General features: G+C 41.7%; 1 protein-coding gene across 5 annotated transcripts in view, besides 2 other annotated features; it reads right to left on the bottom strand.

Moving 5' to 3' along the window:
* The window catches only part of NPL (N-acetylneuraminate pyruvate lyase), a 40612-nt gene extending 38499 nt beyond the window's left edge, over positions 1 to 2113 (bottom strand). For all 5 annotated transcript variants that reach the window (NM_030769.3, NM_001200056.2, NM_001200052.2 and 2 more), the window contains exon 1: positions 2081 to 2113. The gene's annotated coding sequence lies outside the window, so the exon portion shown is untranslated. The remainder of the gene's footprint in view (positions 1 to 2080) is intronic.
* Positions 1960 to 2460: an enhancer, noted in NCBI's record as "H3K4me1 hESC enhancer chr1:182758561-182759061 (GRCh37/hg19 assembly coordinates)". NCBI's record gives its function as "activates a minimal SCP1, AML or CMV promoter by ChIP-STARR-seq in naive H9 embryonic stem cells {active_cell/tissue: H9 hESC(naive)}" and the evidence as "EXISTENCE:reporter gene assay evidence [ECO:0000049][PMID:30033119]".
* Positions 9270 to 9359: an enhancer, noted in NCBI's record as "active region_2207". NCBI's record gives its function as "activates an Ori minimal core promoter by ATAC-STARR-seq in GM12878 lymphoblastoid cells {active_cell/tissue: GM12878}" and the evidence as "EXISTENCE:reporter gene assay evidence [ECO:0000049][PMID:35858748]".

Genomic DNA, 15064 nt, shown 5'->3' with positions numbered 1-15064 from the left:
AAAACCCCAGGTCCACAGGGCCCAAGAAGGTTCAAGTGATAAGAGTCCTGAGAGCTTGAGTCAGCATTAAACACCTCCTAAATCCAACACTACTAGGCTGTTCAGGCTAAATAAAACTCCGTAGTCTTGTGCTTTTGCCTGCATTTATTTGATACTAAGGACGGTAACACTGATGTTCTTAGAATCATCAGAAGCTCAAATTGGCAGTTTTATATGTCTTTAATGGAAAGAAATAAAACTAATTACCACAAATGTAGTTTGATTAGTTCAAAAATTCAAAACAAGGGGCCGTTGGGAGTGTAGGATAGGGGTTAGGAATCACTGTCCTAATCCCTCTTCTCTTCTTCAATCCACACCAGCTGTCAGATTAATCTTCCAGTAACACCAGCATTTCTGGTCTTGTCTTTGTCCTGTTTAGAAAATGCCAGTAGGCTAAAGAACCAGCTCCCTGGGGTCTGGGTCTCTATTGAAATCTTCGTGCCTGCACTATACTTGCCCAGCTGAACAAACTGTTTGCTGTTCCTCCTATCTACCTTTCACTGTCTGTCTGCTTGCCTTTGTTCCTGTGGTTCTCTCACTTCAATCTCTTCGGTCTGATCAACTTTTAAAGCTCACTTTATCCATTCCAGCAGGTATAGCTTAAAAACAAAAACAAACAAAAACCAAAAAACCTCTCATTTTAAAAACCAGGGGATTTCCTGATACCCCAGCCGAAAATAATTTCTTAAACCTCAGAATTCCCCCAAACAGTGGCTTTTCATTAAAAACCTTACATCAGAGTTATTAAGCAGGGTGGTTTTGGCTCCTCTCCTAGACTGTCTGCCATCTGGGGGCAATGGCAGCTTGGAAAATTTCTTTGCACAGATAACTACACTACGTAAAAGTTTGCTGCCTTTGCAAACTTTGAAACGCCTACAGGAAGAAATGGGATAAAAACGACTTTGGCCGGGCGCGGTGGCTCAAGCCTGTAATCCCAGCACTTTGGGAGGCCGAGGTGGGCGGATCACCTGAGGTCAGGAGTTCGAGACCAGCCTGGCCAACATGGCCAAACCCCGTCTCTACTAAAAATACAAAATTAGCCGGGCGTGGTGGCGGGAGCCTGTAGTCCCAGCTACTCGGGAGGCTGAGGCAGGAGAATGGCGTGAACCTGGGAGGTGGAGCTTGCAGTGAGCCGAGATAGCGCCACTGCAGTCCGGCCTGGGCGACAAGAGCGAGACTCCGTCTCAAAAACAACAACAACAACAACAACAACAACAACAACAACAACAACAAAAGACTTTAACAGAGAATGATCAGTATTTTTAAGATTCAAGTTTTTAATAAACTTGGGAATGTTATGCTTTGAAGCATAACAGATAATTATCATTATTTTTAAGATTCAAGTTTTAGATAAACTTGGGAATGTTATGCTTTGAAGTTTTCAGAGCTCGTAGCTAAAGCGAATAGCTCAAATGTTCTCCAGCCTAAGGCTTAATGTGAATTTAGATTATTACTGAAACATTGGGAGGGGGTATTACTCTTGAAATCTTATACCTCCATCCACAGATAAGAACACTCAGTGCAAAGAATTAAAGCTGCCTAAGTCAAATTCTTTTTTAAATGGCAAAGTTGTTTTTTTAAGAGACAGAAAGTGAGGGCAGAATGTACCTCTGGGCAGAGAATATCTTGAGGGACAGGTACTCGGAGAAGAGGAGATACAAATAGGGATTTTTAAAAAAGCAGAAAACCACCAATTTCTCCTCAAGTGAAGGGGGGATGTATCAGGTTTAACTTTAAGCTCTCTTCTGCTCAATTGCTAACTCTATTTTGAGGAAAGGACCTTTGGAGACCCGGCAGATATGCTGTCTGCAAACAATCCGGGGGAGTAAGTTCTTCTGCCCCCGTCTGTCCCTACACTTTTCGCATTCACACCTTCCCCAGATCCGTTTCCCAGCGTATCTGCCTTCCCTCTTTCCTCCGGGTCCGTCAACGTCTCACCCACCCGCGAGTCAGGCCCCAGCGCCCCTCCGCCCGAACGCCCAGGTCGTCGGGCCGTCTGCGTCCGTCTGTCCTAGCCCGTGCCGTCGCGGGCCGCGCTCACCCAGGCCTCCGCTCTTGTCCGTGCAGCCGCTCCGCCCGGCAGCCGCCGCCGCGCTTTATATCCGCGGCCGCCCGGCTCGGGCCCACGTGCCGCCACGCCAGGGAGCCTGGGGGTTGTAGTTCTGCGCCGCCGCCCGCGAGGCGCGCCCGGAACCGCTGGCCCGGAAACCCCGAAACGTTTTGCACACTGGAGTCTGCTCTTCCCCGGGTGTCACCTGAACAACATGGGCTGAAGTGACTCCGGCGCAGCGCCCCGGCTCCCCGAGGATCGGAAGCATCCGAACTGGCGGCCGGGTGCCCGAGAGCACGCGGCTCACCCGCGCCACGCCGAGTGCAAACCTCCCCCTGCCTCGTCTGCACGCCAGTCCTTCCCGCGTGCGGGCACCTCCTGGGCTCCGCTGCGTCTTAATTTTCCTTCTCTTGCGCAGGGCTCTGCAATCCCCACTATCTCGTGGTTCTGCGTTGTGAGGTTTGGGCTGCTGTTTCCGAGGCGTACGGAGAATCCCAACTGCCCATCGGCGTTCAGGTCTCTTCGGGTTGACGCCGCTGCACCAGCCCTGCAGACTCTCGTGTTAAAGAGAGATGAGCGAATTTTAAAGTGAATTATCTACTCATACGGGAGCTTTCCTGGCTTCTTTTGGAGAACATTTGAAAGAGTTTTGAAAGGGAAAATTATTTTTAACCCAACCGCCTCTACTTTCAGGAGTATCAGGAGTCTTATTCTAGGATCATGTACTGTGTGAATAAATCAGGAACAGAGCCAGAGACAAGTCCTCAGTTTTCTCTTGCTGATGTGATTCCACCTCAATTTTCCATAAAAGGCGATGGCTGATGCTTATTATTACATTTAGAGAAACTAAATTGTTCAAAGGGCTTTCTAGTTTGCAAAGTGCTTTTAAATGTATTCTAATAGTTCTTTCGTTGCACAGAGCACCAGAGATAATAGCTAATAAGTACTGTGTTCAGTGCTTACTCAGCCTGCACCGTTCTAGCTGTTTTAACATTTAATTCATAAAATAATCCCATTGGTGGGTCCTGTTTTATAAATGTATATATTACAGATGAGCAAGGATCATTCCATTTTACAGATCAGAAACAGGTTTAAAGAGTTGAAGTAATTTGCCAAAAGCCATAGAGCTGGTTAAGCTGTGGTTTGATTTCAAGTAGTCCAGAAGCTTGTGCTTTTAACACTATGTTATCCTACAGGAAAAAAAAATACAAAAAGAAAAGAAAAAGAAAAACCCTTAGTTACATGAAGCAAGTTCTCCTAAGGCTGCAGCATGGTTTTTGTTTTGGTTTGGTTTTTGTAATATTAACAAGAATATTATATCCTAATGGTACAATGAAAGTTTTTTTTTTTTTTGGAAAGTCACAGTTTAATAAGTGCAAAATTAAGTATGTCAGTACCCAAAAGGTATAGGTCATTAGGCTTAACATTGTCAACCAACAAACCAATATTCTAAATGCATGAACTAACTACTTTTTGTATAAATATGGTAGTGCAAAGTAATTCCTTATAATAATTTGTTAGTGTCTACCAAGAAGCAGATGCTAAGATGGGATTAGATGTGCAAGAAACTTACTGGGGGAGGGATTTGGAGCAGACAGGAGCAGCCTGCAGACTGATGTAGGGCTGACATCTGTGGAACAAAAGATGGAAGAAAGGAGCATGGAGTAGGGAGAGTCTCACTGCATTCTTACAGTATCCACTCTGTGCCGTTATGAAACTCAGAGCCTATACTGTGAAGTGTTGGGGAGACGTTGTTTTAAAATATGGTAAATGCAGTGATAGACTGTACAGAGATATTACAGGAACACTGAGCTCTAATCTGGGCTGAAGGGGGTGGTGTGTGTGTGTGTGTGTGTGTGTGTGTGTGTGAAGAGGCAGGAGGGTGTTCCAGAAACGTCTTACTGGGGAAGGTCACAGCCAAGCTAAATATCAGACAATGAGTAGGGCTTAGAAGAAGAGAGGCAACAAAAGGCTCAGTGCTGAACTGCAGGCCTCTAACCCCCTTCTGATAAGCGGCAGTCTCTGTGAGATTTCTTCTATTATTATGTAGTATTATTTAATCATTAATTTTCTTGCTTTTGTTTCTTGCCCCCAACTCCACTGCAAGGTGTTCAAGGCAGGCATCATGTCCTATTCCTTTGTTTTTCCCACAGTGCAGGACATAGTGTCTATCCAAGTGCAGGCCAAGAGGGTGAGATTTAGAAATATTACTACCATCAACTCTTCTTTGTTTAAAACAAATGTATGTCAGGGTTTTGTATCAGATTTTGTTTGCTACAATTCAAATTTGAAACCCACTGGTGCAGGGGAAAGAGCTTGGGAGATATGGTGCAATGAACTTGGTCAGAACAGTCATATGTTCTATCCTTGGAGCTGGAGGTGATGCCCCCATCACAGGCTCCTGAACTGACTGTGGGTGAGGGGTGGTCCCCCAGAAAGTTTCCCCTTATCTTCTGGTAAGGCTATACTAACCTGAAAAGAGAAAATGGGTTTTCAACAACTGAAACACTGCTAAATTGCGGAACACTTATGAAGGAAGGAGACCTAAGTTGGATCTTGAAGTGTTGTTACCCATTGTGTTCCAGTAAAAGGTCTGTCCACAGGTGGACAAGAGTCTGTTCCATTCACTGTGAAGAATGCGTAACCGGGTATGAGAGTCACTTCTGGAAATTCTGGCTTGTATGGGTGTGTCAATGGGGCTGATGGAAAAGGTAGGGTTTATTTTTTCATCAGAGTCCAGAGGTCTTCAGAGAAGGGAACAGGCCACGAATAGAAGTTGAACTGATTGCTGGCCCTGAGACAAAAACCCTTGTCCTTTAGGGTTTATCTTCTGAGCGTGAGTGCTAACTAGGAGAGGGACATCTCTTGAGAAGGGAAAAGTCCTGTGCATAAGCTTGGGTTCAGAAGATCCTTTGGGATCCCAGGAGGGGGCAGCATAGTGCGGCCATGCTCAGCTGTCTTTTGGCTTAGCCCTTTAGTGAATGCTTACTGGGTTCTTAAGGAGAAAGAGCTAGAAGGAAAAAAATGAGTTGAACACAAGAGATATACTTCCATATTTGGCATTCTTAAACCTAAGATCTGTGACTCCAGATTTTTAAGTAACGACTTTATTGACATATATTTCACTATGATACAATTCATTTAAGTGTATAATAGTTCAGTAGTTTAGTCTATTCACAGAATTGTGCAACTTGTGTCACCATTTTAGAACATTTTCATCACTCCCTCCAATAAAACCCTAGCCATTAGTAGTCACTCATTTTTCTATTTCCCCCTCCCCACCCCCAGCCATAAGCAGCCACCAATCTATTTCTTTCTTTCTTCTTACTTTTTTTTTTGGTTGCCCAGGCTGGAGTGCAATGATGCAATCTTGGCTCACCACAACCTCTGGCTCCCAGGTGATTCTCCTGCCTCAGCCTCTGGAGTAGCTGGGATTACAGGCATGCGCCACCATGCCAGGCTAATTTTGTATTTTTAGTAGAGGCGGGGTATCTCCATGTTGGTCAGGCTGGTCTCAAACTCCCAACCTCAGGTGATCCGCCCACCTCAGCCTCCCAAAGTGTTAGGATTACAGGCGTGAGCCACTGTGCCTGGCCGCCACTAATCTATTTCTATAGATTTGCCCATTCTGGACATTTCATATAAATGGAATTATATGGTGTGTGTGTGTGTGTGTGTGTGTGTTTTGAGACGGGCTCTCACTCTGTTACCTAGGCTAGAGTGCAGTGACATGACCACAGCTCACTGTACCTTTGACCTCCCAGGCTCAAGCTATCCTCCCACCTCAACCTCCTAAGTAGCTGGGACTATAATCGTGTGCTGCATCTGGCTAATTTTCTATTTATTTTTTGTAGATACAAGGTCTCACTATGTTACCCAGGCTGGTCTCAGACCCCTGAGCCCAAGAGATTGCCTGCCTTGACCTCCCAAAGTGTGGGATTACAGGCATGAGCCACTTCACCCAGCCATGCTATGTGGTCTTTTGTGTCTGGCTTCTTTCATTTAGCATACATAACATTTTCAAGATTTATTCATATTGTGGATTGAGTTAGTATTTCATTCCTTTTTATGTCCATTGTATGGCTATACCACATTTTATTTATCTTTTCCATTGTGACAAGGATGCTTTTCATCTGGCTGACTTCTACTCAGATGCAACCTTCCTAAAAGGGACCTCACTCAGATCTTCCCAATGTAGGTGACAACCTCTCCTCATAACACCCAGTGCTTTCCCTTCTGATCACAACTTCTTGGTGTGGATGTGGTCTATCTGTTCTGTTTCATGTGACACATATAGTGCCAATACTGCATAAATGGTTGAAATAGTATGGCATGCAGAATGGATGTTGATAACAGAGAGCTATGTGCTGGCTCTGTCGCCTGAACATAGACTTTATCACTGATGGGAGCAGGGTGCCTCCCTGTTGACTAGGGTTAAGGCAACAGTAGGAACCCTCCTGGCCAAGAGGGCTGGTATCACACAGAGAGTAAGGACTGGACAAAGAGGACTGTAATGCCTCTTTGTGACCAAGCAGGATGGATTCCTGGCATAGATTAAATCTAGGGAACATTGTCTTGTTGCTGAGTTTGTGACTTCCTTGTCCTGAATCGTATCTCTAGGCCAATGTGACCAGTGGGTTACATACACTCTTTTGTCACCACCTAAAAATGGAGAAAACTTTAGAAAATATGGGCCTAGTTTGACCATTAGCAAGGAGAACACTGAGGGTGCTATGAGTTGTAAACAGAAGAGAAAGTTACGAATCTTAATTTTGCCTACAGGGCTTCTTTGACAATATTCAAATAATTACAGAGGCAAAACTTCCTTTTGAAGGATGTGCAACCTGTTTTAGCTATTGCCGACAAGGACATTAGACCTTTGGGAAGCACAAAAGTGAGTTACATTCTGCTTGTGACAGTATTGTAAAAGGTTCCCCGGAGATCTTAAGGAGTAATGAGCATGTTTTCTAAAAACATTCCAAAGCTCAGCAGCCACTTATATTATGAATAAGGTAAAAACCCACCGCTAGGTGACAGTCTATCAGCAGAAATTGCTCCTTTATGACTCTTTCTAGACTGAAAATTTCTGGGGACATCAGGGAACAACAAAAGTATTAGATAATAGTTTTCTGCTCCCATTCTGTGTACTCTTCCTGTGCAGTTTACTCCCTCAGTTTTAAATGTTCTTCTTCAATCTCTGCCTCTCTCTCATTTATATTAAAATAATGAAAATATGTTGTATAGAAACAGAAATGAGACATGGAAAATTAACACTTGCCTCCTGTCCCATACTGGTTTTGTTTTTGTTTTTGTTTGTTTTGTTTTTGACATAATCTTGCTGAGTGCAGTGGCGTGATCTCCGCTCACTGCAACCTCCACCTCCCGGGTTCAAGTGATTTCCCTACCTCAGCCTCCCAAGTAGCTGGGACTACAGGAGGACACCACCACCATGCCCAGCTAATTTTTTTTGTATGTTAGTAGAGATGGGATTTTACCATGTTGGCCAAGATGGTCTCAATCTCCTGACCTCGTCGTGATCCTCCCACCTCGGCCTCCCAAGGTGCTGGGATTATAGGCGTGAGCCACCATGCCCGGTTGGTTCTTTGGGTTTTTTAAATAAACATACCTGTAAGAAGAGTACACCTAGTGCTCTTGACTTTTCAATGTGTAGAATATACTGTAAAATCCAGTTCAAGTTTAGTTTATAAGTATTTTCTCTCTCATGAATAAAACTCTATGTTTCCTTCAGCATTTGAGGTAAAAATGGGACAATTAGGAGAAATAAATTTTAGGTCTTTTACGAAGAACTTCACTTTATATCTCTTTTGAATGAAGGAAAAACTCCCTGGAAAAAGTTCAGAGTGTGAAATTTGAAATTTAACTTGGTGCCACCCGAGGCTGGTTTGATTCTCGGTAACTGCTGTATTTAGGCACTAAGAGTCAGGGCTCTAGGAAGCTTAGATCCCTCCTGGGCAAATGTGACTGATCTTGTCCCTCCTTTTCCCTTTTGCCCAAGCCTGCAGGGCGCTGTTAGCCTGGACTAGCACACTCAGATTCCATCTTTCAGAGTGGTTTCCCCAGTCGCCATTGGCCTGGTTCACTGGTGCCTAATGAAAAGCTCCAAGAGGTTATTCCAAAGTCTCTCGTGTTACTCCTGTGCTCCATATCTCAGTTTTAGGTATTCTGTTATCTCTGTAACCTAAATTCTGTTATTTCTGAAAGAAAAACATACGATGTATATTCATGCATTTAAAGATAGACCAAGTAGGCACAAAAAAAGGCAAAATGTGGAATGCTTTTTATTCAGTTCTTCCATTTGTATGAAAAGGAAAAAAGAGGTGTTGTAGGGATATACTTGTATATGTGCACATATTTCTAGAAGGATACCAGTGATGTTCAAAATATTTAACAACTGGTTCAGCACTGACACACAGGGATGGATGCTGGTTTTAGAGCTCTAGGGATCCTGGAGTTCCCCTAACATTTATGCTTTCACCCTGTAATGACGGTCAAGACTCTGGGGGGCAGCACTCCAAGACCATGCCAGGCAGCCACCAACTGCTTCCTGAGGGGGCTGAGGCAGGAGGGACTTATTTTTCAATGTGCCCTTTAGTGCTGTTTGAAAGGTTATTTTTTGTTTGAATTCTATTTATGTGCACATAGGTAGATTTTCATTTTGTTTAGCTTAGGAGATAAGTCTTATTTTTAGAATTTGTTTGCGGACATTTCTGTCTAGTTATTTGCCTCCAGCCTGTCTCCAGCCTCAGGGCCATTTCCTTTAGTTCCGTTTTGCTGACTCCTCCACTGAGAGCTCTCCTTAAGCTTCTTAAGCCCCTCTGTTTGAGGGGAAGGGAAGGCCTGGCTGAACTCCCTCTCATCATCTCTCAGTTGCCCCCAACCCCAACACTGTGTCTGAGTCTCCTTTTATTACTTATCTTGGGCCTCTTGTCTTTCCACCTACCAGACCTCAATTCCATTATTAACCAGTATAGGCATCACTCTGCTTAATCTTGTGATCAGAAAATAAGTGCTTTTTTTTTGGTGTTCCCACAACTTTTGTGCATATGGAGAATTAGGTTTCCTATACACACCAGCCCTAATGAGAATAGTTATTATATTAGTGGTAATACTCACATGGCATTGGCTTGAGACTCCACCTGCCTAATGCAGACACACTGCTCCCTTCCAACTTCCCATTATTAGTGGGAGGCACGATATAAGTGATCCCTGCAATGTGCTTCCTCTCTTGCCTGTGCTTCCACTTTGAGCTTCTTGTTGACCCCCCTGCCACGAGGCCACTGGGGGGCAGTGTCTCTTCTCAGTCAAAGTTGCTTTCTTCCTGTGCCCCAAGGCCATCAACCACACTGTTCCTAAGTTGTGGAGAGAAGCCTCTTCTCTTCCACTTTGCCTCACATTTTTTCACCTAGGCCCCAAAAGAGCATGACAAGTGTTCATTGTCTCACTTGAGCCCCTTCCCTCTCTACCTGCAGATTCTGTCTCTGTAGAGGTCAAGCATGAGTCTATGGAGCAAATACAGGGAACCAAAGTCACCCCATACCCATCCCAAGGCTGTCCTTTCCCACTCTCCTTTCTCCACCCTAAGATACCACGAGACCATTTTCCAGCAGTCCTCTTCCCTTCAGGCTATTCAGCACCTACAGCCAGGTCAACTGCTCCCTTAGATTTACCAGACCAAGTTGACTCTTTGTGGTGGTCACTACTGGGCTCAAGCTGATAGCCTGGCCATGCATATTCTGTTAATGCTTATCTCACTGTGTGGCAATTGTCTGCAGACGTGTCTGCTTCCCCTGTTAGACTGTGGCTTCCTTGAATGCGAGCTCCTAACCGTGTGGTGTTCATTTTTGTATCTCCAGCATGCAGTCCCCTGTCTGTTACACAGCTGACCTTGATAAATATTTTTGAAAGAATAAATGAACACAGCCCAATTAGCATAAATATGCAGAAAGAAACAGCCCATCTTTGCCAAAAGGATATTCAGGCAACACATGCAGAGGGAGAGAAGCTCTTCTTAAAGAGGACCCACTTTCTTATAGAGCAGCCACTCATAGCTCTCTAGACTCCTTGGACCCTCAGGGTTAGAGAAGACCCAGGGTTAGAACAGCACTTTTGGGGGAGGTTTCATTGACCTTGTTTTGAAACAATAACATGTTGAACGGCCAGGTGACTAGTTAACATTTTATTGTGTACCTGCCAGTTGAAAAAAACAAGGTCAAAAACACAAAAGGATAGAACATGGCAAAACATACTGATTAGACAGGGGAAAGCAGATGACACACAGGGACAGGACATTTTATTTGTATCATTCCAAATTCAGAGAAATATAATTAACTCAATGCTTGATTCACCTAAGTTTTTATAGCAGAAGTGAACGTGACAGATTGAGGCACAAATTTGTTGATGCTGAATATTGGGCATTTCTTCTCTTATTATTTACTATACATAATCTGATGTCATGTGATAGACCACAATATGTAAATGACTTCAATCAGGAAAAAAGATGACTTATGTAAGTCTGTCTGACTTTATTCTCTACACATACTGAGAAGCAAACCCATTAATCACAGCCTAGGCAGAAACTCTTCAAGTAGTGTGTGAAACAAACAGAGGTATTAATTATGGTAATAATAATACTTAACACTTCCTTAAAGGCATGATAGTTACAGAAATTGGGAAAAATAAGAATACTCCAGCAGGCTTACAGACACTCAGTGGCAATATCACAAATAATCATAATCACAATAATTTCAGAAATGAGGAAGCAGAGAGAGGGGGAGAGGTGTTAAACAATTTGTTGAACATCACACAGCTGGTAAGGAGTCTCTCTAATTCCAAAGCATGACTTCTTTCCTGTACACAGCAGTGCCTCCCCAATTAGAGAAAGTTATAGTGTAAAATCATCAGAGGAAAAATGTGGTTTCCGGTGATTTTTAAAACGGTATTGTCTGGTCACTTGTTCTTGTTTCCCTGTTCTGCTTAACAGTTATGCACCCCATAAGGACGTTTTGGTCAATAGTGGGCCGTATATATGGTAGTGGTCCTGTAAAATTATAATGGACTTGGAAAATCCCCATTGCCTAGTAACGTAGCTGTTGTCACATAGCACACTCCCGTGGGTGTGGTGATGCTGGTGTAAACAAACCTACCACACTGCCAGCCTTATGAAAGTATAGTACATACAATTATGTACAGTACATAATACTTCATAATGATAATAAACAAGTGTTCCTTATGTGTTTACTATACTTTTAATTGTTATTTTAGAGGGTACTGCTTCTACTTATATTTTTAAAACTTAACTGTAAAAGCACCTCAGACAGGTCCTTTCACAGGTATTCCAGAAGAAGCATTGTCATCATAGGAAATGACAGCTGCATGTGTGTTATTGCCGCTGAAGACCTTCCAGTGGGACAAGATGTGGAAGAGGAAGACAGTGATATTGATGATCCTAACCTGTGCAGGCCTAGGCCAAGGTGTGTATTTGTGACTTAGTTTTTAACAAAAATATTTAAAAAGTAAAATAAATAAATAAATAAATAAAATACAAAAATGCTTATAGAATAAGGATATAAAGAAAGAAAATATTTTTGTATGACTATACAATGTTTGTAAGTGAAGTGCTATTTCAAAGGAGTCAAAAAGTTTTTAAAGATTTAAAAGTTCATAAAGGAAAAAAGTTACAGTTAGCTAAGTTTATCATTGTTGAAATATTTTCTAAAATTATGAAGTACAGCCTACGTGTACAATGTTTATAAGGTCTGCAGTGGTGTACAGTATTGTTATAGGCCTTCACATTCACTCACCACTCACTCACTGACTCACCCAGAGCAACTTTCAGTCCTGCAATCTCCATTCATTGTAAGTATTCTATGCAAGTGTACTATTTTAAATCTTTTGTATTGTATTTTTACTATACCTTTTCTATGTTTAGATAAACAAATACCATTGTGTTATAATCACCCACAGTATTCAGTACGGTAGCATGCTATACAGGTTTGTAGCCTAGGAGCAACAGGCTATATACCATATAGCCCAGATGTGCAGTAGGCTACAGTGTCTACATTTTTGTAGGCACACTCTATGATGGTCACACAACAATGAAACTGCCTAATGACGTGTTTTTCAGAATGTATCCCTGTTGTAAGTTATGTGTGACTATATACAGAAAAATTTAAGTGGAGAGAACCAAATGACTTACTAGGCAACAAAGCAGGTTGGACAGATGGACAGTGGGTGGAATGACCATGGTGCCTGAATCTTCTGTTACCCAGTACCTTATCAATTAATATTTCCTACTCTGCCTTCCAGATAACTCAGCCTACTTAAAGCCCACCAGAAAGTCAGTGAACAAATCTCCCAACCCACTCACCCACCATCAACCCATAAACTCACCAGCATGTATTGAAGGCCTACCTTGTTGTGCCTGGCACAGTGTTTGGTGCCATGTGGAATGGCAAAGCAGGACCAGACAGCGTCCCTGACACCCTGGTGCTTGTAATCTAGTTGGAGAGATATGATAAAAATAAATGACACAATTACAGAATCTGACAGAATGTAATAAAGTGCTAAATTGTGTGGTACAGACAATTAGAGAACAAGACAGTATATAATAAAGTGCTAATTGTGTGGTACAGACAATAAGTATAATAGGAGTTCAGTGAAGGGATAGATGAGTGTGGGCTGCAGTCTTCAGGGAAGGCTTCTCATCATGTCAGTGCTGCCGTGTTTATCCAGTGCATGACGGGAAATGGAATATGAAATAGAAGATGGATTATGAGCAGAATAATGGTGCTGAACTGTGGTATCTCTTCTCAGGCTGGATGAACACAGAAAGAGAAAGAGTCCTTTGAAAGGTAGCATTCTCCATTAAAAAAAATCAAATAGAGAAATATTTTATTTTCTTTATTAGTTTTGTTATAGAAAATTTCTACAGAAACTTAAAATCATATTTTAAATTGAATAATGTTTTAAATGTACCAGGAAGCTCACTGTTTAAAGGAGCCATGTTGTAAATCCTTTTCATAAATGAAAAATACTTTTGCATTATTGATGATCACTTAGTTTATACAAAATTCCTCAAAGCTGATAGTAAATAGGTACTCTGATACACTACTGGTGGGATTGATGAACCTTTTACAAGGTAACTTGGCAATGTGTGCCTAAAATTTTGACAATGTGCATATTGTTCAACCAATCAGTTTCACTTCTGGGAATTTATCCTAAGGACATAATAATAATAGCCAACTGCAAGAATAACTTTACTACAGTGATAATTATCACAGAGTTAGGAGAAACTGGGAACAATCTAAATGCCCCCAAAGAGAGGACTGATGAAATAAACACATATTTATAAAATGGAATGTATAGTCACTAAAGTGGTACTGTAGAAAAATATGTAATGTTGTGGGAAATGTTCACAATATATAGATAAGTGAAAAAAGCAAATTTGAAAACTTGAAGAGTATGATTACATTTTGTTAAAATGTGTTTTATGCATAAAACATGTTTTATTCACAGAAACATGTTTGAGTGGTGAGTTGATACGTGATTTCCATTTCTTTATGCTTTTGCGAAATTTCCAAATGTTTTCCAAGTTACATGGTTTATTTTGTAATAAGACATATATTAAAATTCTACGGTTCTCTGATTTAAGTTGCTTTGAAAGTTGGGATAGTCATAATTTAGACTGCCATCTCGTGATTTTTCTTTGAGTGGCGTAGACCTAGAGGGAGTAATCCTAGGAGGTGATTAGAGCCAAAGGTCTTGTGGGACAAGTAAGTTCTGGGACCAGAGACAAACACGAGAAGTATTATTCCTTTTTCTTTTGAATTATAAATGATTTCTATTAGCAAAATGTATACCTTCTTTTCTTAAACTCATATTCATGTGGGAGCTGTTTGGGAGGGACACACACTCTTTAAGGCTTATACAACGTGAATTTTTAGCAGCAGAGCCTGCCAGAGTGGGTGGAAAGCCCAGGGCATGGATTAATTTTTAAGATGTCTAGAATACTAAAAATAAAAATAAGAAAAATGTAGAAATAAGTGTAGATGTGCTGAAACAGAGTTTCAAAAACTGTGATGATTTTAAATGTTTACCTTGAACAAACTGATACCTTAATACACAGTATATAAGAACAGAAAGTAAAACTTCATTGTGACATTATGTCAAAGGCTTGAATTTGAGATCTTTGGTGCATGCAGGGTCAAGGCCAAATTAGGCTCTGCCTGGAAACCATGTAGAGGATGTGGAATTATTGAAAAAAATCAGAAAATATGCAGAGAGGATTTTGGAATTTCTGGTCCAGGGGATTTTCCATGTCTAAAGTGAAAACAAAATAGTTTTCTTCTGTTCCAAGAACTTTATTTAGAACTGTTTTAAAAGGGGCCTTTCTCTGAAACATTTCAATACAAAACCACATTATTTTCTCATCCTATGACTCTATGTCTTCCATTCCCTAGGTTTTGACTAATTTAAGGTCTTAAAATAGACGTTTCAACCCTTTTTAGTTAATAATTTTCTATTTTAACCTCATCATCTAGCCTTTCATCTTTGACTTGGCCCGGTAAAACGTAGCAAGTCAGAATTTTACTTCCTTCCTGTGCCCAAAAAATATAAAGAAAATCCTTGAATACCCATGTTTTTGGGAAGTCCAACCTTAGCCAAAACTGGGAGCTGTTTGCCTTTCTTTGGAGAACCCGTCCTGTAGAAAGAATGAGCTGGGCGGCATCCCTGAAGTACAAGTCAGGAGGACTTGTTCCTGGACATTCCCTTGTCTCCAACTAACTTGGGTGAATTCGCCACTCTGTGCTTCATTTTTTTTTTTCATGGCATAGTACAATGCTCACGTGGAGGATGAGGGCAGATGTGAAGTAATTAAAATATTTCTGACAACATGGCAGACTAGCTGACATGGGGAAACCTTCCCTCCACCACTGTCACATAGAAAATCTAGAT

Source organism: Homo sapiens, chromosome 1 (genome assembly GCF_000001405.40).
Source record: "Homo sapiens chromosome 1, GRCh38.p14 Primary Assembly".
In the NCBI taxonomy this organism is placed as follows: domain Eukaryota; kingdom Metazoa; phylum Chordata; class Mammalia; order Primates; family Hominidae; genus Homo; species Homo sapiens.
This window is presented reverse-complemented; position numbering and strand designations above follow the sequence as displayed.